Source organism: Homo sapiens, chromosome 13 (assembly GCF_000001405.40).
Source record: "Homo sapiens chromosome 13, GRCh38.p14 Primary Assembly".
Classification (NCBI taxonomy): domain Eukaryota; kingdom Metazoa; phylum Chordata; class Mammalia; order Primates; family Hominidae; genus Homo; species Homo sapiens.
In genome coordinates, this window is record NC_000013.11 from 35,637,002 (window position 1) to 35,662,043 (window position 25,042).

Genomic DNA, 25,042 nt, shown 5'->3' on the forward strand with positions numbered 1-25,042 from the left:
AAATGCCCCTTGCTTGGATATAATCTTTTTTTGGTCATTCCTACCCCAACATGTAGCAAAAGGTAACCAGCATTTCTCTCATTTGTTGTGCCTGAATAACAATCCTATTTGTATCAGTCAGGATCTCAGCACATTACCTTTCAAAGCGATAATGAAGACTCCAAAGAAGACATACACATGACCAACAAGTATGTGCCAGCATCATTCATCTTTAGGGAAATGCAAATCAAAGCTGCAGTGAGATACCACCTCACACCCATTAGGTTAGCTACTATCAAAATAGAAAATAACAAGTGTTAGTGAGGATGTAGAGAAACTGGAAACTTTGTGCACCATTGATAGGAATATAAAATGCTACCACTGGCGTAGCTGCTAGGAAAAACAATATGGCAATCGTTCAAAAATTAAAAATAGAATTCCCTATGACCCAGCAAATTCTACTTCCGGATATATATCCAAAAGAATTGAGAGAAAGGGCTTCAAAGAGACATTTGTATACCTATGTCCACAGGAGCACTTTTCACAATAGTCAAAAGTCGAGGCCAGGCGCAGTGGCTCACACCTGTAATCCCAGCACTTTGGGAGGCTGAGGCAGGCGGATCACAAGGTCAGGGATTTGAAACCAGCTTGGCCAATATGGTGAAACTCCGTCTCTACTAAAAATACAAAAATTAGCCGGGCATGGTGGCAGGCACCTGTAGTCCCAGCTACTCGGGAGGCTGAGGCAGGAGAATCACTTGAACCCGGGAGGCGGAGGTTGCAGTGAGCTGAGATTGCGCCACTGCACTCCAGCCTGGGTTACAGAGCAAGACTCCATCTCAAAAAAGAAAAAAAAAAAAAGTTGAAAGCAACCCAAGTGTCCGTGGATAGATGAATGGATAAACAAAATGTGGGGTGGTGTATGTGTGTGTAATGCATTATTAGTCAACCTTAAAAAGGAAGGAAATTCTGACACATGCTACAACATGGATGAACCTTAAGGACATTAATACTAAGTGAAACAAGCCAGTCACAAAAAGACAAATCCTGTATGATTCCACTTCTATGAGGTATCTTAACGAGTCAAAATCATAGAGAAAGAAAGTGGAATAGTGACCCCCAGGGACTAGAGGGAGTGGCGAGTTTTTGTTTAATAAATATAGCGTTTTAGTTTTAGAAGATGAAAAGAGTTCTGGAGATTGGTTACACAATAGTGTGAATGTACTTAACACTACTGAACTGTACTCTTAAAAATGGTTAAGATGGTAAATTTTGTGTTATATATATTCTACCACAATTAACTTTTTTTAAAGGATAATGAAGAGAGTTTAATAATGGTTCTATTTACAAAGGTATAGACATGGTAAAGTGGATGAACAAGGGAAAGCGACAAGGAAAGGGAGCCATTCCCAGAATCTGGCAATAAAAGTGCTCACCCAACAAGAGCTGTGGCCTTAGGTAGAGGAGTACTGGCCAGGCACTGCCAAAACGGGACTTGGCAGAGAGGGGCCATATAATCCTGTCTCTGCTCCTGAGCTCTGTCATTGGCTGAACCCACTGGGAAGGTAGAGAGCAAGGGAGCACAGGTCTATGGAGGCGCATCTTCCAGAGCCAAAGAAGGTGTCCAGCTCACTGGTCTGTTCCCCCTGGGTTGTTCATTTCTCTAGGCCAAGAAGACTTATTTAAGGCTTCCAGGCTTGCTCAGCCACAATCAGCTACATTAAAATGCACTCACTCTTCCTACCTGAGTTGACTTATACTTATTTTAAGTGGAGAAATTGAGTGAGCTTGTCATTGATGGCACTGATCTGATTTGGACAGAAAATATTCTGGATGGAGCATTTTCTCTCCGGAGGAAATGATGCTTACTTTTTCACATTCATTTGTTAAGTCAGTTATGTAATATCACCATTATAATTCAACATGCCAAGGAGGAAACAGGGATCAGCAAGAGGATAAGTCACATCTTAATTCTACTTAGATTTACGCTAAAAGAAAGAAACCAAGAATTAAGGCAGGTAACTGGACAAATCAGAATCTCTCTCTCAAATATTGTCTAAGTGCATCTACTAATTAAGGCAATTGTGGTCCCTTTTTACTCGGATTACCAAATATTTGCTTAAATATTCTAATAATTTTGCCAGGATAATTTTAGCCTTAATGCAGTTGAAGGTTAAAACAAAAGGAAAAATATTTATTCTCCTATTTTGTGGTTTCTATGAAAAACTAGAAGCAGTTGAATATAAAATAGCATTTTAATTTTTTATATAGTTTAATATTTATAAAGCAAGAAACAACAAAGTGCAGATATTATTTGCTTGATTTATTTTGCTCCTGTTTTTCCAGCATTAAAAAGTAATGCTTTATATGATCTTGTTTTATTACAACAATAAACCAGAAGCAAAAGCTTATCAGTTAAAATGTAGTCTGCCATTAAGTAACCTTTCCTTTTATCATTTCAGACTTAAAATTCCATTGTTTTTGTTTATTTTTTTCCTATTTGGCATTGGTAGAATTGCAGGTGGAACAGAAAGATGATATCAATCACATGTATTTTTTTATTTTGTGTCAAGCTTGTATTTTTTGGTTTAAAAAAGAGCACTTTTAAGTATTAAAAGCCTTGTAAGTAAGAGCTATACAGTGAGATAAACAAAATGCTAAGGAAACTTTGAAAATCTTTTTCTGTTTTCTCAAGCAACCACTTTTACTACTTTTTTCTTGAATTTTCTGAAAATTGTTAGTGAATTTACTGGTATTTGGACGTAGTTTGATATTTTGCATTGTGGGTACCATAACCTATAGTACTTTATAAAATGCTGATTTTTCTGAAAAACAATTTAAAAGTTTATACAGACCAGGGAGATGGATGAATAGGTCATTTGAGAGCCTGTATTATTAGCTCCTTCATGCTGTTTGTCATGGCTCTGTAGACCTGACGGCATTTCATCTGAAAGATAATACTGAATTACATTTACCAAAAAAAAAAAAAAAAAAAGCAGTTGTAATCATTCTATGGAGAAAAATGTAAATGGGTTAAATCTACCTGCAATGTGGAAAAGACAAGATTAACGAAAGTTTTTGCCTACCACACACCAGAGAAGGTATGGCTTCTGAATTCTGGCTTACTTGGTTGCCACATTTAATTTTACCTTAGTAGGAAGTCTTTTATATGAATAAGCAAATGTGCAACACATAAGCACACATTATATTTATCGATTTCCTTTTCTGAGGATTCAATTCCAGGTATGTATCTTTATTCATAGAGGAGGTAGAACTTCCTTGGAAGGAAAGCCAAAAAGGAAAGAAAACAATTAAGAGATACGGAGGTCAAAGAAAGAAGGCATGTGTCACATCATAGCTAACACACATGCCCCTTTGTGCACACTTTAGAGGACACCTTCTCTAAATGGATGAATTACAAAAGGCACTCCTTTCTCTGGCTCTCCAGGTAGATTCTATTACTTATTTGCCTTCCAACTGGGCATCTTTGTACAGGGCATAAACAGCATACCCATGCACGGTGGCCCTGACCTATGAGAAAGAAGAAAGACTCAAGAGAACTTGTTAAGTAAGGAAAAAGGGGACTCCCATGAAGATGTCATAATTTCGTAACTTAGTAGGTGGGTCCTGCAGAATTGTATAAAGGAGAGCCTCATCAGACTAAGGAATGGGATAATCAGGAAGTAGGGAGGGGACAAAAGAGAAAGTGTCCCTAATCGAAACTTTTCCTTAATGGGAGCTCTATATACAGATAAGCAGGTAAAACTGAGTTATGTGTCATATATGTGTTTGTAACCTGAAAATCATTTATGCTGTTCAGATTTTCTTATTTTGTTCATTTGTGCATAACTCACTTCACATTTATCTTTACTTCTCTGCCTATACCTACAAAATTCCATGTTTTAGAACTTCCTCAAGGTGTTCAACCTACCTATTTCTCGGTGAGTCTTAGCTGGAGAGAAAAATAAATGCTAAGTGCATGATGTCAGTTCAATAAATATTCAGCAAACAATTTTATAATCAGTAAGAATCCATATAACAATTAAAATTTAACACTCTTTAACTTAATTTTCATTTCTACTTTAACAATTCCAGGTAAAGAAATAATTATTATAATTATTTTATGAGACAATTGAGTTTTGATATATACAAGTTTTATTAATAAGTTATCAGTACCCTAAAAGATTACATAATGTAAATCATTACTTTATTTACAGCTTCGACCATTACATTTTGGGTTCACAAATACTTACAGAAAATAAATACACAAAACCATTTTGGAGAAACACTTTGGCAGTAAAACTAAACTTACTCCTACCCTATGACTCACCAATCCCATATCTAGGTATAGACCCTCCAAAAACTGGCTGCTAACCTCCATCAAAAGACATGTACAAGAATCTTCTAAGCAACTTTATTCACAGTAACCTGAAACTGTTAACAACCCAAATATCCATCAACAGAATTGATAAATTGTGTTAGGTTAATACAGGGGAATACTATACAGCAAAAGAAAAATGAACAAACTACCGATACATACAACAAGGTTGAATCTTGCAGACATAAAGTTGATCAAAAAAGGCAGAAACAGGAAATATGTAGTGTATAACTCAATTTATCAAAAATTCAAGAATAAAAAATAATTGATGATAAACATCAGAATAATTATTAGCTTGACAGGGTGATGGGGCTAGATAGGGGGAATAATTGGCTGGGGAGGCACACAAGGTTACCAGTATCTATGTATTCTCTCATGTACCCACCACCCAGACCAAGATATGGAACCTTCTAGTTCCATTCCAAAGTCCTCTGTCTTAATGTAGATGGTGGTTAGAAGAACTGAAAAAATGTATATACATACATATATACATTCATCAAGCTGTACACTTAAGATTAGTGTACCTTATACACTTTTATCTTAAACCTTAAAAAATGAGTAATTTGAATAAATAAATAAAAGTGAATGCACATAATAAGCTTAACTTCAGGATACCAAAATCAGTGATTTCTTAATAACATTAAGAAAGAATATTATTTAAGTACAAGCAAATCTATATTTTCATGTTATTCTACCAAAGTGTTGTCTACCAATGGCTGCATGGTCTTTTGTATTTGTGAAACATCAAACGTTTTGTTAGCCACATTTGTTTTAAAAAATCTAGTGGTTTAAGCCTATTACCTATGCTGGCTTTGTATGAAATATGTAAGACTCATGATACCACTGTTTAAGTAAAAAGTCACTATGATTTATTGATTCTAAGATGCACACCATTTTCATATCTCAATACTCCAAAATCATAATGTGTCTTACAATCAATCAATCATAGCATATTTTAATTGATAGCATATTTTACTTATTAATAGTATATAAAATAATGGAGCTTCTAATAATGGATAACATAGATTTAATGAAGTTGGATTGATGGACATTTCCAAAGTTTTAGTCTCTTTCCATATACATTATACATGCTCATGAGCTCACGTGTTCAATGTTAACTCATTTTGGGTTTACTGGAAAGTACAACAGATACACAAAGCAACTGATATCTTGTAATACAAATTAAAGTTTTCATTATTATATTTTAAAAGGATTCACAAGCCCCAAAGCATATAAGAACCAGACAGGGAATAGATGAGTGACACAAGCCAGTGGCAGTGCCCAGGTCATGTGAGTGGTGGGCGTTACAAAAGGGCAGTTGTGCAGGAATGCTGATGTGGTATTGCCTGATCTGCGAAGTTTTTAAGAGAAGCCAAAAAATCCAATTTCTTGTATGCCATTTACTGACCTGTAAATTTTGGCTCAAATAGAAACCATGTCTGTGAGCTGAATCTAGCCCATGGGATGCCAGTGTGTGACTTTGGGCTGAATGTAAGCTCTTTGAGGGCAGGAATCTTTATCTGTTTCATTTTACCAGTATCATTAATATCTAGAATGGAATCTAGTATGTAGTAGGTACTCAACAAATACATGTTTTGTGAATAAATAAAGTTAACGTTAAATCTCACTGACCCTTGCAGACCAATGTATAGAGAAATAGATACATGTAGAATTTTTTTAATGACATTTCTGGATAATATAGAAGGAATTCATCTCACAGTTCCAGTAGTTTCTTTTTTTTTTTAACTTGATATATTTGGAAATTTTTAAGGGAAAATTTCTATATGGTAGAAAACCTTTTCATGCTGTGGACAAGCTAATTCTTACTTAATCTTCAAACCTGAGCTCTGTCCTTTTTCCAAAAGTCTCTTTCCTAAGAACCTATTCCCCTTCCCCTCTGTCACTCGTCTGGGCTCCCAGGGCAGCCTGGGCTTGTCTCCCCTGTGTCCTGCTCCCTACCATGTGCACTGACACACTCATCGTCTTTATTTTGGGGGCTGCTAACTTCCTGAGGTCAGCCTGGTATCTGACTTTGTATCCCTTGGCATAGAGTAAGCATTCAACAAATGTCTGTTAATTGTTTTTGTGGTATTGAATTGTAAAAGTAAAAAATTCTGAAGTGCTTTTCTTTTTCTAGACCAGGTTTCAGTTTTATACAAATGCCCTGCTTCTGTATTCACCAAATATTTTTAGAATCTCTGTTAAGACTAAGTCACCATCCTGACCTGCAGAGATTCAGTCTGAACAAACAGACATACATAAATAATTGTGTGTTAAAATCTATAGTAAAGGAGAAAAATGTGCTGTGAGAATATGCAGGGCATTCATTATGATTTAGAAGGATTTAGATCCTTGCCCAAGGAGGTGAAGGATTTAGATCCTTGCCCAAGGTTAGCATTCGGGGAGGATTTTCTCCTACACAGGGAGTAGCTCTCAGAACAACTACTTCATTGTAACAATTCATGGGTTGCAGAATGAGTTCTGCGTGTCACCAGGCAACCCTCCCATTCACAGGACCTGCACACTTGACAAGAAAGTCATTGATGACCCCCTTAAAGTGGGAAAGGACAGAAAATCTTACATGGGGAGCAGGTGAAGAAAGATAGTAGGTGCTCACTCTCCCCTCAAACGTTTTAGTAATGACAAGAAGTAGAACTTAAAGGAGACAGCATGCTTTTCAAGATCAGAAAGATCTGTACATTTTTAAATCAGAGGGTAAGGAATTACTGGAAGGCAGGACTACCAGATAGCTAAAAGGTAAATATTGGACTGAGATCCTTTGGGTCATGAAGGCATGTAAAGTAGATCACAAGGAAGAGGGAGTCAGTATAGTCTCAAAAGAAATAAACGTTCAGTGTCGAGAACTGACTGTCTTAATGAAAGGATAAAGTTAGTCACAATCTCGTCTTTATCCTGATGCCTGATTGGGGAACTCTTTTAAATATATATGCATATGTATTCTGCCTTAGTCCAAAATGGTCAGAGTTGGGACTCACTGAAGAGAACTGCACAGAAGATTTCTAGAAATTTTATCCATTTCATAACATTTTCTAGTACAATGTTAATACTTTCCTTTAAGAAACAAAACTAGAGTCAAGCAAAGCATGTTTGTTGACTAATTCCTTCAATAAACATTTAAAGGCTCCCTACTAAGTGCAAGACACTGATCTAGAGATTAAAACATGTTTAATTTTACCCCCGGCTCCTCGCCCCCACTTGTGTCCTTTTTCTGGGGAAGTAAAAACAGGAGTAGTAGTATCTGTTGTTAGAGAGACGTTTAGCTGTTCATGATACATGAAGCTAGGTATTAAGCACTTGCTAACCAGGGCAGCGTTAACAATAAAATTACCACTTTTCTTTGCAAATAATTCTCAAGAGTTAGTTATTAAAAATGTGAACCTAACCAGAAATGGTCTCTTCCCCCTTTTATAATCATAAATCTTGCACTGGGGAGACAAAAGTAGGATGTAAATGCATCATATGTGAATAAAATTTAGTTAAATAGTCACACTTGTGAGTAGACACCATGCAAATAAATGTATACATAAAAATTGGACAGCACTTAAAGAGATTTAATAATTCATCCCATTGCCTCTGCAGATAAAAGAACCAAAGTCCCATTTACGCGATGGCTAAAATATGGCAGATAATGATGCATTCATATTTAATATTGCTAATAAATTTGCAGGTTCGCATTTTTATTGATAAACATTTTCTTGAAATACAGTGTAGGAGGACAGATTTTTAAATTTAAGTACTTTATAAATTAGAATTGTAGATAGCGATGAGATTAGTGGTGGTGCTATGTCAAGAGCCATCTACCAACTCACCTGTGCTTCTACAAGCACCTAGCTATGATTTTCCTATTTCACTTTTACGTGCAACCAAATTGCACACAATTTAGGGAAAAAATTAGCATGGTAGCAGAGTAATGATCATAGTAAATATCATGCTTCTCCTTGTTGACATAAATTACATATAATATTTCAGAAAAAGATTTTTGTTAGTCTAGCTTAATATATGGAAATATTTTGCCTATAGAATTTATGTATCGAGGAAATACTTAAGTTTCTTTTAAGATGATCTCTTTGACACACACAAGAAAGGTATATTGTACAGTCCAGACAGTTTGAGGGCTAAAATTATTTCTATTCCTTGGAGGCTATAAAATCTCATTTCCAGCTACACAGGCTTTAATGAAATATTGTATAGCTTAGGATACAGGAAGATTTATTTCTTTTTTGGGTGAGTTCTCTCTAAAATTTCAGGGAAAATTTTTGAGAAAATGAATTTATACCTTAAAAATAATATTCCAGAATTCATCTTAAAATAGCATAGAAAGCTAAAATATATTTTTGTAACAAAAGTTTTGTTATATTTAATAATTCTATAAAATCTTGGTGTTCTTTCTGCTGATCACCCTCTGAATTAATTGGAACCTATAACTTTCTGAATTTTATTTTGTATAATTGGTAGACTTCATGTCTCATTCTTTTTTTTCCCCATTAAGATTCCAGAAGCTTATTTCATTAGAGACCCCCACACTTTCCTTCTTACAAAGGACTTTATTAAGGTATATGTTCTGTATTTAGTGTGGAAAGTGTTCTTTGGTCTTTAGCTGCATGCATGTATTCACAGGTTAGATTTTCCACATTTAACCCCAGCTTCTGGGAATAAGAATAGTGACTGGGTTAACTGAAGCATGTTTGGAAGGAGAAGCAAAGCTTGTCTACAAAATACTAACACTTGGATGATTCTGCACCCTGAGAAAAGAGCACCCGTTGAATTTTCTGGACTTTTTTTCATGGCTGACTTGGGATACACTTGCGTTGTCAAAGAGTGTGTTGGCCTCTCTCTTTGATGCATATTGATTATGACAATCACCCTCCTTCCCCTGCAGGCCATGGAGGCACAGATACAGAACTTTGGACAGACGCCATCTCAGTTGCTTATTGAGCCACATCCGCCTCGGAGCTCTGCCATGCACCTGGTAAGACATATCAGCATGTTGAGATTTTTTTTTCTTTCCTTTTTACCTGGGAATAGAGCAAATAAAATTGTGATTTTAACAGCATATTTTAAAAGGCTTCTCGATTTATTGGTTAACTCTTCAGCCTAAGTACAAACTAATACCCCAGGGAGAGACAGAGAAGGAAGTGTAAATCTACCTTTAAGTCCTACTTAAGCTGTCCCACTTTTGGATTCACAAAAATAGCCATCTTCTCTATGTATGACTCTACATAAACTCATTCATGCACACACAGGCATAGAGACACACACTGACACCAGAATTAGACTATATTTGTAAATTACAATGAAAAATGTATTGCAGACACAATATGATATTGCCAAATTTCGTGGCAAGATACAGTAGGGGAAGTAGTTCATTTGAATAAAAGGAAAGAAATATAAAGGTAATTTGTGGTTATTACAGAGAGGTTGTTGAACAGAGTGGTTAAGAGTAAGGGCCCCAGAGCCGGACAGGGCAAACACCATCTCTGCACTAGCTAGTAAATGACTTGGGCAAGGTATTTAACCTCTCTGTTTTTGCATTTCAGCATCTTCAAAATAGAGGTAAAAATAGTACCTACTACTGAGAATTGAATGATTCAATACTGTATAGCACTTAGACCAGCACCTGTCATACAATAAGTTCTTAATAAATGTGAGCTGACATCATCATAATTAGCTACTGGTTAAACCTCTTATTCCCACTTTGCAAGGGAGTCATATTCTTTTCATTTTAATCTGAATTTAAAAGTCCATTTCCATAAAAAAGTTTCTTTACAGTTTATTAGCAAATAGTAAACATTTTCTTCTTTAAGTAATTTGAAGAAGGTAAAATTTTTATGAGCAATTTCTTTAGAATTTTTTTTAAAACTGATTTTTCACTATTTTTTTACTGAAGTAAACAATTCTTGAAGGTAAAAATGCGTTCACAAGATGAACTTCAAGACAACAAGTACTCTAATTTTAGAGTAAAGAGCTCTGGAATATGGTCCATAATATATGTGTAAACAAATGTATAAGGTGTTATTTTGTGATGGAAGTATTAATCACACCTTTCATTTACTCTGTCATTTAACGAATTTTTATTGAGCCCCTTCTGTATGTCAGATCTGATGCTAAGCACTGGAGATACAGTGACAAATAAGTCCTCTAAACTTTCAAGAAATCAGTAGTCGAACTTTTGGGAAACACATAAATGCTTTTTGTTGTTGTTGTTTTGAGACAGAATCTCACTGTCACCCAGGCTGGAGTGCAGTGGCGCAATCTCAGCTCACTGCAACCTTCGCCTCCCTGGTTCAAGCAATTCTCCTGCCTTAGCCTCCCGAGTAGCCGGGATTACAGGTGTGCGCCACCACCCCTGGCTAATTTTTGTATTTTTAGTAAAGATGGGGTTTCACCATGTTGGTCAGGCTAGTCTCAAACTCCTGACCTCGTGATCTGCCTGCCTCAGCCTCCCAAAGTGCTGGGATTACAGGTGTGAGTCACCACGCCCGACCTAAATGCATTTGTTTTTAAATTTTTTTTTAAGATAGGGTCTCACTCTGTTGCACAGGCTAGAATATAGCGCCATGATCATGGCTCACTGCAGCCTCAAACTCCTAGGCTCACACGATCTTTCTTCCTCAGTCTTCCTAGTAGCTGGGACTACGGGTGTGTGCCACCATGCCTGGCTAAATTTTTAAAATTTTTTGTAGAGATTGGGTTTTGCTGTGTTTCCCAGGCTGGTCTTGAACTCCTGGGGACCCTCAGTCTCCCAAAGCGCTGGGAATACAGGCATAAGCCACCATGCCTGCCTGGTGTGTGTTTAAACTCTTTTTTTTTTTTTTTTTTTTTTTTTTTACCTTCCTTCAACAGCTCAGCCAAACAGCTTCAGCCTCCTTGGTTAGTCACTAGTGAACTCTTTTGACTGCAGTTGGTCTTTCTGTGTAACTAAACAGAAAGGTTTGCACCAAGCTCAGGCTGTTGCCGTATAAACCCCTCAGCCACATTGTAGACATAGAGATGTGGCCTCGGAGCCTCACCGTTTTTAATAAACTGTCCAGAAGAATATCTCTAACACTTTATTTTATGAAATGCTTTGGCAGAAGAGTTTTATTCCCGTGTTAGTTTTCTGTGTTTAATAATAATAATAAAAATATTTATCCTGGAGATATGCCCAGTCAGAATTCATTACTTTCCTAGAGGAAGTTGTTAGAGACTGAATTGGCATGAAACTGTTTATAAAGAAACTCTAAGCTTTCTAAGTTCATGTAGCAGAGAATTCATATATACTGCAAACCATTAAGAAACATGTATGAAAGCTAAATAATGGTTATTTCCAGCCTCCCTACTTTATGTTTTTAATATGGTGGTATTTGTAGTGTTTTGTAGGACTTACAGTATCTACTTTCTGTCAAGTCATATGCTAGATGTTGACAAAACAGACGCTAAAAACAGAAAGAAGAAAACACATGGACACGTGACAGGGAACAACACGCACTGGGGCCTGTCATGGGGGTGGGGGTGGTGGGAGGGGAGCATCAGGAAGAACAGCTAATGTATGCAGGGCTTACTACCAAGGTGATGGGTTGATCTGTGCAGCAAACCACCATGGCACACGTTTACCTATGTAACAACCTGCGTGTCCTGCACATGTATCCTGGAACTTAAAATAATTAAAAAAAAAGAAGAAGAAGAAGAAAAAGCATTGGCCCTCCATAAGCTCCCAGCCTAGAAGGGAGAAACAAGGCTTCAACCATAAACAGTCAGTGCCAGAGCAGAACCTGGGGAGAACTGCCAGGGAAGCGCTCGGCTGCTTTATGGGGCTACTGTATTTTAATTATTTAGACTGTAGTCATGACCCCAGATCAACCAGATAGAAATGAAAGTATTAGTCAATTCACTTTATATTTCGTGTAAAAAATGGGAGTCACTAATTTGACTAACTTTCCCACCAAACTGATTTTTAAGCTGCATTGCATAACTGTGTTACGTCATGTGGGTGTGTCTATGAGCTAACTTTTCACATTGCATTGTGGTGATATTTGAATTGAGGCTGGTCTTTAATGATTCTGTGTCCCTGTATCAGTGCCTTCACAGAATTCTTATTCTCTACTCTCTGTGCCATTCCCCAGTCAAAGCTGCTCGATTTGGGGCAGACATTCACCAGTATGAAAGTTTAGGTGGCTTTTCCTCCTTGTGTGTGCTCGTGCTAGCCTTGTCTGTTTAACCTCATTCTCCCTAGACCTTTCACTAACTATGTTATTCCTTTTGTCTTCCTCTGTTCTCTTCCCTTTCTATTCAACAGTGTTTCCTTCCACAGAGTCCGCTCATGTTTAAAGATCAGATGCAACAGGATGTGATAATGGTGCTGAAGTTTCCTTCAAATTCTCCAGTAACCCATGTGGCAGCCAACACTCTGCCCCACTTGACCATCCCCGCAGTGGTGACAGTGACTTGCAGCCGACTCTTTGCAGTGAATAGATGGCACAACACAGTAGGTATGTGTGCCTGAGCAAATCACTTACTAAAGATTTCTTAAAAGCTACAATTAAAGTAAAAAAGTGTACTGGGACTGGGATTAGCTCATATCCCACATTATCTACAAAAAACAGCAGACTAAATAAATAATTGTCAAATCCAACTAAGGGACTTCTATCTGTCTCCTTCATTTCTGCTGTATGTTAGTGCCTCATAGGATGCTTGGATCATAGTCAACTACTCAGTAACTATTTGACAAATTGAAGCAGTTCTACCAATAATTCAGGTTCTCCTACTCTATTCTGCTATTGCCTAACTGCAAAAAAATACACCCTTCTTTTTTCCTATATCAAACAGAAGAGAGTTTGAATATGGGTTTCTGGATGCTGGCTTCACATCCTCTTGTCTCTATATCAGTAATTTATTTAGCAAATATTTGAATGACTATTATGTGTCAAGTAGTCCCAAGCACTGTATATACAGCAATAAACAAAACAAGCACCAACTCTATTTTTGCAGAGCTTAGAATCTTTGCAAAAAGACAAAATCTAAATTCTCCAGTGATTTCACACTTCACATGTGTTTCTCCAAACTCTTTCCTGAAAGTACCAGCCAGTACATCTTGAAGCGACATAACGTTGTGGCAAACATTTAGACATATTGCAGGAGTTCAAGACCAGCCTGGCCAAGATGGTGAAACCCCGTCTCTACTAAAACTACAAAAATTAACCAGGCACAGTGGCAGGCACCTGTAATCCCAGCTACTCGGGAGGCTGAGGCAGGAGAAACGCTTGAACCCGGGCAGCAGAGGTTGCAGTGAGCTGAGATCGCGCCACTGCACTCCAGCCTGGACGACAAAGTGAGACTTTGTCTCAAAATAAACAAACCAACAAATCAAAACACATTTAGACATATGGATGCTTAACCAGGGCAGAGTGGATGTGACCAAATGATTTAGTTGGCCCAGTTTACCACTTGGGATCTCCCAGGAAGCCGAGGACTCCCCGTCTCCAGAGTTGAATAGCTGAGCCATGCCGAAGTAACCTGAATCTTTCTATTTTACTGACCTCTACATTGCTCTAAAAAATACAGTGATTTATATCCTAGCTTTATCTCCTAAGAGTTTCTAAGTGCACCTATTTTAAGGTTATTGGTGATATTATCAACGTAAGGTAACGCTACTTCCATTCCATCAGAGATAGGCAGCACATATCTTAAGGAAAATATATGACTGTATTATTCTCAGGAGACAGCCTCTAGAAATGTTTTGCATTGAGAAAAACTACAAAGGACTAAATTTTTATTTAAAATTGTTTGAAAGTGTTGTATATATTGTATAATCACGTGTGAAAAACTATGACTAATGAACTTCATCAAGCTCTAAACATTAATCCTCTGAAAGTAGCTTTTAGTGAGATTAAGATTTTAGGTGTGGCCCAATTTTTATACCTTCCATTTACTTGTCACATGTTGAAAAAAAGGCCCCATTGGATGGGAGCCCCAGCTTCCTGTGTCCTGCCCCAGGTGAGCGCAGGCTCATACCCATCCCTGCTTGGAAGCATAGCCCTTTCATTGATTTCTGCTTCCTGTGTCCTGCCCCAGGTGAGCCCAGCCTCATACCCATCCCTGCTTGGAAGCATAGCCCTTTCATTGATTTCAGGCTCATTGATTGCTCATGACCTTAGCTTTTTGATGGGTTCAATAAATGTTACAATCTTCTATTTATCCAGCTTTTTCTCATCATTAGAACAGAAACAAAACTCTTCCCAGCCTTGTACATCGTAAGTGGAAACCTGAAGTCCCTGTTGTGATTATTTTGTAAGGCTGTCTACAGAGACACATAGTATCAGAACAATTTATCAAATCATTTTTAAGCAAATATGCATTTTGTAAAATCATCATAAAACACTACCCATTAGGAAATCCCTTCTTTCTGAGAATTTTATGTTAGTTTTTCTCTCTTTTTTTAATCTTTAGGCCTCAGAGGAGCTCCAGGATACTCCTTGGATCAAGCCCACCATCTTCCCATTGAAATGGATCCATTAATAGGTATGTTAATAAAAAAGAATAAATTTTCATGGATACTATCCATATATTCATATATAGTTATTTTTCATAAGATAGTTGAACAATATTTTTTCTACCACAAGATTAAAATGCTAATAATATCAAATTATCATCAAGGAGCTGTGTAAATCATAATATGCCATCTAAGAACTTTTTGGTATTAAAGCAATCGTTTCTTGATATTTTTGGAGGTCATTTAAGTTGGTTATAAATAAGGCAAATAATTCCAAACTGTATTTTCTTTCAGCCTAAAGTGTTCTCTAACAGCTCAGTATTATTTAAAATATAAGGATTCAAAAAGATTACTAAAGGCTGGGGGAGGAATAGCATTAGGAGAAATACCTGATGTAAATGACAAGTTGATGGGTGCAGCAAACCAACATGGCACATGTATACCTATGTAACAAACCTGCACATTGTGCACATGTACCCCAGAACTTAAATTTAAAAAAAAAAAAAAAAAGGGCCGGGCATGGTGGCTCACTCCTGTAATCCCAGTACTTTGGGAGTCCAAGACGGGCGGATCACGAGGTCAGGAGATCGAGACCATCCTGGCTAACACGGTGAAACCCCGTCTCTACTAAAAATATAAAAAAATTAGCCAGGCGCGGTGGCGGGCACCTGTAGTCCCAGCTACTCGGGAGGCTGAGGGAGGAGAATGGCGTGAACCTGGGAGGCGGAGCTTGCAGTGAGCCAAGATGGCACCACTGCACTCCAGCCTGGGTGACAGAGCGAGACTCCATCTCAAAAAAAAAAAAGGAAGCTAATATTGAAGAACATCTTTTCTGGCAGTCTTTTTTTTTTTTTTTTTTTTTTTTGAGGCGGAGTCTCGCTCTGTCGCCCAGGCTGGAGTACAGTGGCGCGATCTCGGCTCACTGCAACCTCCGCCTCCCGGGTTCACGCCATTCTCCTGCCTCAGCCTCCCGAGTAGCTGGGATTACAGGCGCCCGCCACCGCGCCCGGCTAATTTTTGGTATTTTTAGTGGAGTCAGGGTTTCACCGTGTTAGCCAGGATGGTCTCGATCTCCTGACCTCGTGATCTGCCCATCTCTGCCTCCCAAAGTGCTGGGATTACAGGCGTGAGCCACCGCGCCCGGCCACCTCTGGCAGTCTTTATCACTGAATTTTTTTAAACTGACATGTTGTAAAGCAAATGTTTCATATGAATTGCAAACTGATGAGCTATAACTCTTTGCAGCAGACATTCAAAATATTTTTAAATAATCGTGTACATATTTATTAGCCATTGGATCCAGAGCTAGCATCTTAGTCTTTCGAGGCCCTTCCGGTTTCATATATGTAAGACAGTTTTTAATAATGTTTGTTCTATCTGTATCACTGGATGATTAGTAAGATAAATTAGAAAAAAATTGAAAATGCTACGAAAAATTATTAAGCTACATATTAAAGTCAAGGTGTTTTATTCTTGGGTTCTTTTTTTTTTTTTTTTTTTTGAGATGGAGTCTCATTATGTCACCCAGGCTGGAGTGCAGTGATGCAATCTCAGACCACTGCAACCTCCGCCTCCCAGGTTAAACCAATTCCCCCACCTCAGCCTCCTGAGTAGCTGGGATTACAGGCGTGCACCACCACGCCTGTCTAATTTTTGTATTTTTAGTAGAGACAGGGTTTCACCGTGTTGGCCAGGCTGGTCTCGAACTCCTGACCTTAAGTGATCTGCCTGCCTGGCCCTCCCAGAGTCCTGGGATTACAGACGTGAGCCACCACGCGCAGCCTCTTATTCTTAGATTCAAATTCATCCTTCGTCTTTGAACCTGGAAATAAGATAAGATACAGACGTTTCAATTAGTTACTTATACCCATACACAAAATACCATTTACATGTCTTTGGGAGCTTATAAGCTTTAGGATTAAGAATATTATTAGTCTAGTCTAGCTATTTCTCTTTCCAGTAGACATTGACAATGAAATATACAGCTAGTGTGTAACCATGGAAAAATTAATAGGTCTATTCTAATTAGTAAAGGACCAACTGTATAGTTTTCAAGTGGCCTGGGACCCTTGGTCTTCTTGTCCTTACTGACTTTTGTGTATAATATTTTTATTGCTTATGTTTCTTAGTAATTATTTTTATACTGTTAGTAGATATCTACAGATAGTAGTACTTAATATTTAACTGGTGTTAGAGAGTGGTGGTGACCTTCTACATCTGCATTTCTGTTTAAGAATTCAGCCCAGTGATTTATCCTGAAAGGATGGTGCGCAGTAAGGGACAGGCTGGCATGCAGACAGGCACTGGGGAAATCAGATGGTGTCTCTGAGTTCCTGACTTTATTCAGATTCAATCCCAGGGCTCTGCACTGATTCTTTGCCTGTCTCTTTCCTCCCCAGTCCCTCTCTCATCTTTTTTGTTCCTCTCCTCCCCTGCTAGCCCTTTCTGGAAAGGCCTTCTGTCTGTTGACAATCCAGGCCTGTAAAGCTGCTGACCTGAAGCTCCCTGTGGGGCTGCCCACGTAACAACATCCCTTGCTCAAATCTCTACCCTCCTTTTTCACAGGAATTATAAATACCATCTGAAAATGACAGACTTGGGGCAAATATTAATATATCTCTTCCTTAATAACATACTTCATACAATATTTAGTTTTCATGTGATTCTTATAAACTAATGAACTTGTATATAGTGAACATCTAAAGAATTAAATGCATTAAAATATTGTATTATGTTTTAAATTAATTGTCTTGAATTCCTCATATTGTTTTTATTGGTGGAGGGAGAACTAAAATTTCTGGCATAATTTTAAAATACATAATGTGGTTCATAAATAATTACTGCGAAGGAAATTTATATTCCTCAAGGGAGAATCTTAATAATCTCATACCATTAAAAAAACTATTTCTGGATAAATGAAGCATGAAAGTATTGTTTTCCTTCTTTGAGTGCTTGGCAAAACTCATATGGAATCTTTCTTCAAATGCTTTTTTCCATTTACTTTTAGCCAATAATTCAGGTGTAAACAAACGGCAGATCACAGACCTCGTTGACCAGAGTATACAAATCAATGCACATTGTTTTGTGGTAACAGCAGATAATCGCTATATTCTTATCTGTGGATTCTGGGATAAGAGCTTCAGAGTTTATTCTACAGAAACAGGTAATCCTAACTATGAAACACCATATTCTCTTCAAAATGACTATTGTTAAAACCAAAGCTGAATATGAAATCATACTTAATGTAGGCATTTTTATCATTTGCCAACTTGAGTAGTCAAGATTCAAATTAAATGTTCACATTGTAAGCAAAGTAACTAACTATAACTTCATGTATTCCGAACGTTAGCATGATCCCAGAATTCATAGGACAAATGGGGCTATTGTTCCTTTCCCACAAATTCATATGCAGTAAAAGATCCTAAAACTCCCCTTGGTCTGGCCCAAACCCTGAAGAGAAAAATCGTGATTGTGTTATTTTATAAAGTCTTTTCTTTAAAAATCTCAAGTGACATTCTTGTATCAGTTTCCAAAAGCAATGCAAGAAAGCAACCTGTAGCCAGATTTGAATAACATTGTAACTTTGTCAGCCCATAGATGAACTTTTCACAAAACTGGTAAAATAAAATTAAAAATATGGTAAAATTTTTTAAAAAATCTGATAAAGTTACACTTATTACCATTTGAAGAAAAAGACTAAATGAAGCAAACCTGTCATTTCTGTGTTGCAGGGAAATTGACTCAGATTGTATTTGGCCATTGGGATGTGGTCACTTGCTTGGCCAGGTCCGAGTCATACATTGGTGGGGACTGCTACATCGTGTCCGGATCTCGAGATGCCACCCTGCTGCTCTGGTACTGGAGTGGGCGGCACCATATCATAGGAGACAACCCTAACAGCAGTGAGTGTTTGTATCAAATTTGTCCTATCAAACTATAGTTTATTTAAATATATTTTGCCTTTTTGATTTTCCTAATAGTTTTTTCCTGAGGTGTAAGGATTTTAAAATATGAAAGCTTAAGTGGCCAAAATCTGTACTGGAACGTAGCTATGTTCAAAGTGTTAAAATGATCAGTACTATCACCTACAACATGGAGAGACTTCCAGATCCCCTCACCAGTCCCCTACCCAGACCCTCTGCTCAGCAGCCCAGTCACCAAATGTCCCCATCCTTCAGAAATTTTCTTCAGCTTCACCTTATCCATTAAACCTCATATTATTTCTTTCAGCTGAAAATAATCTCTCCCTGCTCTGAATTTTTAGAAGATTTTGCCTGTGTCTCATTCAGGGCACTAACTGCTATCTACCATATATACTGTAGTAAATTTCTCCATTTATTCGTTTAGCAAACAGTGAGTGAGTACCCCCTTCACATGAGGCATTGTGGGAGATGCAAAAACTGAATAAGACAGTTTCCTTGCTTGGGAGGATTCCTCAAGTGATAGTTATTCCACAGTGCACCCTAAGATATCCCATAGGAAGAAAGCGTTGGGAGAGGCTGGACTCCTTCGTGAAATAATTTTGGAGTACAGTGTTTATACTCAAACTTTCTACATAAGCTCTGAAAGTCTTACACAAATAAATTTGTTGATGCTTGTTTAATCCGCAGCCTCTCAAACTTCTTTTTCCAATGAAACTTTTATTTATGTAAGAGAAGTTAGTTATTAGTTGTTGGACTGCTGCCCCAAGAAAACACTAAAGTAGATAATGAGTGTCTGTCTTTCCATCTTCAGTTCCTGTCATAGTAATATACATAATAGGTTTCCAATAAATTAAATGACTGAAGAGCTGGATAAGAGATTGGCTAGAAATAATTACTGCTTTTAATTACTAAGCTTTCAATAGTTCACTCAAATGCATGACTTTCCTGTATAATATAGAAAGGTTTCTGTGAAGTGATAATGGCAAGTACTCAAACCAGGATTATTCAAATTGTCACAGCTTACACAGCACTCCAAAATAAACTGAAACATGAATTTGGGGAATACTTATAACCCAACAGAGATAAAAATTTTTCAGGAAACCTGTGCATCTACAACTAAAATACTATAAGAGTAGATAAGAAATCTACAAGATGCCATGTTACATTGCGTGGCTGGCTGCTGCCTCTCTGGTTAGTTCCAACCTGTGAGACAGCTAGGGGTGGAAACTGAATTGCACATCCACCCTTCATGTCCCACTCCATCCCCCCAACCCTTATGCATTTTGACAGGAATACCGCAAAAATAGGAAATGGCTTTGGATGGATAAGAACAAAGGCCCCATCATAGTACAGGAGAGAATGGAGAAATACATTTGTATGAGAAGATAGTGGAAGATTGGATTAGATGTCCAAATGTTATGTGAAGTTTTATTCCTGTTGCCCATAGCTAGAGTTGAACAGTGGATGAAGAAACTAGGTGTGTTGTAAAATAGCATATGCCTCTTGGCATAGCTACTGAACAAGAGAGTGTCTATTGTACATACGAGTCTCTGTTCTAAATTTGAACAAGATGTGATCTTTATTTGAGGGAAAAGATATTCAATGTTGCTTGATTTCCAACCAGTTCAAATAATTAGTTACCAATTCTGTTATTAACAAACATTATGCTCTAAATACCAGTAAGATAATCTCCCTATTTACTCTTTTGTAAAGCCATGTCCGTAAACAATTCATTTTTAACAGAATTCTAGTATGCCTATGTATGCGTATGTGTACATGTGTATAAGACATATGACCTACCAGCGATGGCTTTATTATTCTCAAGAATGGTACATTATCAAGTATATTTTATCTAAATATATGTTCACATATTTCCAAATTGTCTTTATTTCCATAATAGTGTAGCATTTCTTTAAAAAGTTTAATTAAGCAGCAGGTCTGTGTAGTATCTTTCATATACATTGATAAAAATTAGAACTTGTTAGAAAAAATTTAAAAGAAACAGAATAGAGCTTTAAATCTAATTAATTACCGTCTTCAAAATGAAGCCCAGAAATGATGCAAGTGTTATTTCCAAAAAGGGGATTTATTTCTTAAAAGCTGCCATCTGGTAGCTGAGATAAGATGTTTTATATAATATACTGCTAGGAGGTAAAGAATATTAAAGAAAAATATTAAATTATAGTAATTATCTATGTTCACTACTGTGTTTTCTAATGATCTCTTAAACCAAAAGATGGCTAACTATCAATTGTAGCTTTGGTACATCAGTTAGCAAGAAAAGTTAAATACAATAATATTTAAATTATTTAAAGCTCCTTACAACAGGAGCTGTGTAAATACAAAATGCTTTTTTAATTCTTAAGAACAAAAATATGGATATTATATTTGTTAAAAAGCAGTGTCATATTTTAGTTTTAAGTAAGGACAAGATTATCTTAAAGATATTATGACAAAATTATCAATATGTATTTTTCAGTATTACCTCCATCTATAGGAATTTATTTTTAGTGAAAAGCTGTTGTCATCATTATGAACCTAAACCACTTCCATAGAATCCATCCTGTCAAGACTTTATTAGATATTTAATGTGAACATACGTAGTATGGTACATTAATAAAAGGGAAAAGTGCTCTTCTAGAATAAACAAGATAAGCACCTAAAGTATTAGTCAAGCAACAGTATGTGTTGGGTGCCTACTGTGTGCCTACTGTGAGCCTGGTACTATCCCAGCAGCTGGGAATGCTGCAAAGTCACAACCTCTGACTTTCTAGAGTTTACAAGAATCTACTTTTATACTGATCACAAACTGTTTCTCCTGCTTGGATATACTGAGGATGTCAAGTATTTGTTAAATGAATCATGAATTGTTATCCGATAATATTTTGTACCATACTTTAAGGATTCGTAAAATGCTTAACTTTACATCAAATTGATGATTATGAAAAAAACTGGTTTTAGCTTTTTTCCATAAGGATGATCACAGTAGTAAAAAAGTGATCTCAGGTTTAGTATTGATTGACTGACTGATTTGTGACCCACTTATCTATTTAAAAAGCTAACCTAGTAGCATATATATGCCTGACTAGGGCAACCATCTGTGTCGGTCTCTTCACTCTTTTTTCAGGCAGTCACAGCACACACTGAATTGACTGCCATATCAGTGCCCTGCCTGTGGTTTGACATAGACATAGTTGTTGCCATCAGAAAACTCACAATGTGAAAGAGATTTTCTTCTGTTCCAGTTTAATCTACTCTAGCTTCCAATTCACAGGTCAGAGAAGCAGGCCATATGTGTTTTCTATCTCATAATACATTGATACTCAAGACCAGAAAGCTAGTTATGTCTAAATTTGTATTAAAGTGTGTGACACAATGCCCTTAGGTTTTGGAGGTTGTATGTATTAACCTATCCTTGACGTGGGAAGTCCTGGCATGTAACATAATATCCTAGTAGCTGTTATAATGAAGGGATTGGCCTTGGTGTGGACATGGAACTGCTTTGTGTGTCACCGAGGCCAAATCACACCTGTTCATCACAACATCATGAAATGATAGGATTTATCATTTAACCTTTACATGCATATCACTAAAATCTTCTCAAGATAAAATTCAACTGACTTTAACATATTTGTTTCTCTTGCATTGTCATTATTATATTGTAATAGATAGCTCTATTAATTCCACGAAGAAAAAATGTCATGTTTGTGAAATCTTTTTGGCAGGTATAGAAAGTATGTATGGTTTTATTGTGTCAAATATATTGTGAAGAATGCAGACATCTCAGAAATATTAGTCTTTTTCTAATCATTTTGACCATTGTGATGAATTGGTCACAAAGATAATGAATATTTGTAAGCAGACTATCAGATATAGAGTCTCAGACCATAAAAGAGATAAGCAAAGTCTACCTAGTGCAGGTTAGAGTTGAATTATCATTGCTTTATTAATGTATTTTATAATATTATTCATTGTTATTCTTTCAAACTCGCGGCTTTGAACGTATAAATTATCTTGGAGACTTTAAATAGGTCCCTAACTAGATAACAGAATTGCAAAGATGTGAAGGACAGATGCTTTCATCCGAAACAGACTTTTACACAAATTCTGAAACTAATTTGGAAGTGATAAAAATTAATTTGCGCACTTTAATTGGAAGCAGCCTACTGCATGAAAGAGAGCAGAGCAGAGCAGGCAATTTGTGCTAAAAGCTGATTGAATTTTTTGTCAGGTAGGTATCTTGGACTTGGCCGCTTATCCTCTTGAGCCTCTCTTTGCAATATATTACAACCCATCTCTGACTGGTGTTCTTTAAAAGGATCAATGGTATTCCTTTGGAATCCCTAGAGTCCAAAATTTCATTGATCTTAGGACTTGACATTTCTCATTACGTGCTGTAGCTTCCAACAAGATAGTCACAATAGAGGCAAGTTAACATTGTTGTCTCTTCAACAGACACTCAAAATACATTGGGACTTCAGCTCAAAAGCCAATCTGCTTTTAAAGAATGTAGTTTTAATGTTTATACCACATACAAGGTGCTTTATAGAGAGTTTGATATACATACATACAAAAATTTTTAAATCATAGCCATGTGAAACTTTGAAAGAGGATTTACCGTTCATCTTTTCAACTCAAATCTACAAATATTCATTGGGTAGTTTGTATAACACATTGTTATTATGCTTTTCTATTCCACTTTTTAAAAATAAGTATTTTAGCTCGTGTACGGGCATTATGCAGACTGTCAAAGGAGAAGCCAATTGCAAAGGAGACTCCAGCTGTGCACACACACCTTCTCTGGGCTCCCATTGTGTATGCCTCAGCTCTGGACGCTGACCCTCCTGCCAGCCACAACCTGTCACCAAACATCTGCCAAATCACATCCCTCTCTTTGTTGGCATCCAGGCTTCTTTTAAAAAGACTATCCTGGTGCCCAGCTCCACAACTGCCACTAACCAGTGCTATTATAAGAAATGAAAGCATGGCCGATGGATAGCCCAGAGAGATTTGTAGAGTATATTTAGATTTAGATACATTAAACAAGTTTGTATCACTTCTCGGAGCAAAGAATCTTAGCTAGGATTTAGCATATGTTAAACCATCTTTGTAAGATCAGAGGAAGTGTAGCTCCATATGCAATAGTTCTCACCTTGCAGGGCTTTTTGAGGACCAAATGGTAATGGATGTATTGGAACATCGATGGCACAGAGTCCATTCTGCAGTAGACCACTCATCCACCCCATCCCCTCATTCTAACACCAGTAGACTTTCCAGGGTTCCAGACTGAGAAGGGAGCTGCTTGCTACTCGGCCTCGGCTTTTCCTTTCCTTTTATGGGACTAAGGCTTCAAGAAAGGTCTTTGGCCTAGATTGGAAGCAATATATACAGAGTGACTAATGTGTTCTGATCAGAGAGCTTCAGGTTCCAACCAGGGGGTGTCTGGGCTTTACGCAGAGCCCAGCTTCCTGAGGAAGGGGAGGTGGATGATACTATTAGTTGTTTTTAGGTGAGCGTAGGACAGTAATGTACTGTGACCTAGATCTGGGCTCAGGACTTCAAGAGAAGAGGTTGTCCTGCAGTGGCAGTGCTCAGAGGAAAATGTAGTCATTGTTATCTCTGAAGAGGAAAAAGAAGTTAGAATGAATGAATAAATAATTTCACCGTATCTGTCTTCCATTCTTCACTGAATACTCTATGAGTACATAAGGAAATGAAACCACATCATGGGTGAATTTGACATTTTCCAACCCACAGAATGTTTTTACTTGCATTATCTTGGGACCTTGGGAAATGCGGGTCCAAGTGTATTTGATACTTGGAACAGACCTCCACAGCACCTGCCTGTGGCTGAGGAGTTGGGGTCTTGATAAGGGACTCCTGACCGATACCGCTCTTCTCAGCTATTCCAGCAAATTTCTAACATAATATGTTGAAATAAATCTTGAAATCATAGTAGTAATGAAACTACCATACCCTTTGACTAAATCCCTTATTCTGGGATTTTAACTTTCAAAACTCCATCATATTTTATCTAAGTATAAACATGAATAAAAATATCTTCTGCCATGATTCTGCAGTGACTTCCCCAGGGTCAGAAATAAAATCTGAATCAGATTTTATCAGGAGGTTCATCCTCTCACTGTGCAGCGGAGGTCTTAGAAACTCCACTGGCTTTGTTTAGTTCTAAATCAGAAAGACCACAGCTTCCCCTGCATATCAGTGTCCCACAAATGAGGTTTAAAATAAGAACCATGAGTTCTTTACTTTGGC

The 25,042-nt window shown here is 37.3% G+C and overlaps 1 protein-coding gene across 14 annotated transcripts in view; it reads left to right on the top strand.

Annotated features, from left to right (window-relative positions):
• The window catches only part of NBEA (neurobeachin), a 730,467-nt gene that overhangs the window by 694,732 nt on the left and 10,693 nt on the right, over positions 1-25,042 (top strand). For 6 of the 14 annotated variants that reach the window (XM_047430271.1, NM_001385012.1, XM_017020544.2 and 3 more), the window contains 6 exons: positions 8,868-8,930; positions 9,258-9,347; positions 12,654-12,846; positions 14,804-14,875; positions 17,854-18,009; positions 18,578-18,748. In XM_047430271.1, coding sequence (XP_047286227.1) covers positions 8,868-8,930; positions 9,258-9,347; positions 12,654-12,846; positions 14,804-14,875; positions 17,854-18,009; positions 18,578-18,748 — 745 coding nt within the window. The remainder of the gene's footprint in view (positions 1-8,867; positions 8,931-9,257; positions 9,348-12,653; positions 12,847-14,803; positions 14,876-17,853; positions 18,010-18,577; positions 18,749-25,042) is intronic. The other 8 variants (NM_015678.5, XM_017020545.2, XM_006719806.4 and 5 more) reach the window with 3 other exon arrangements.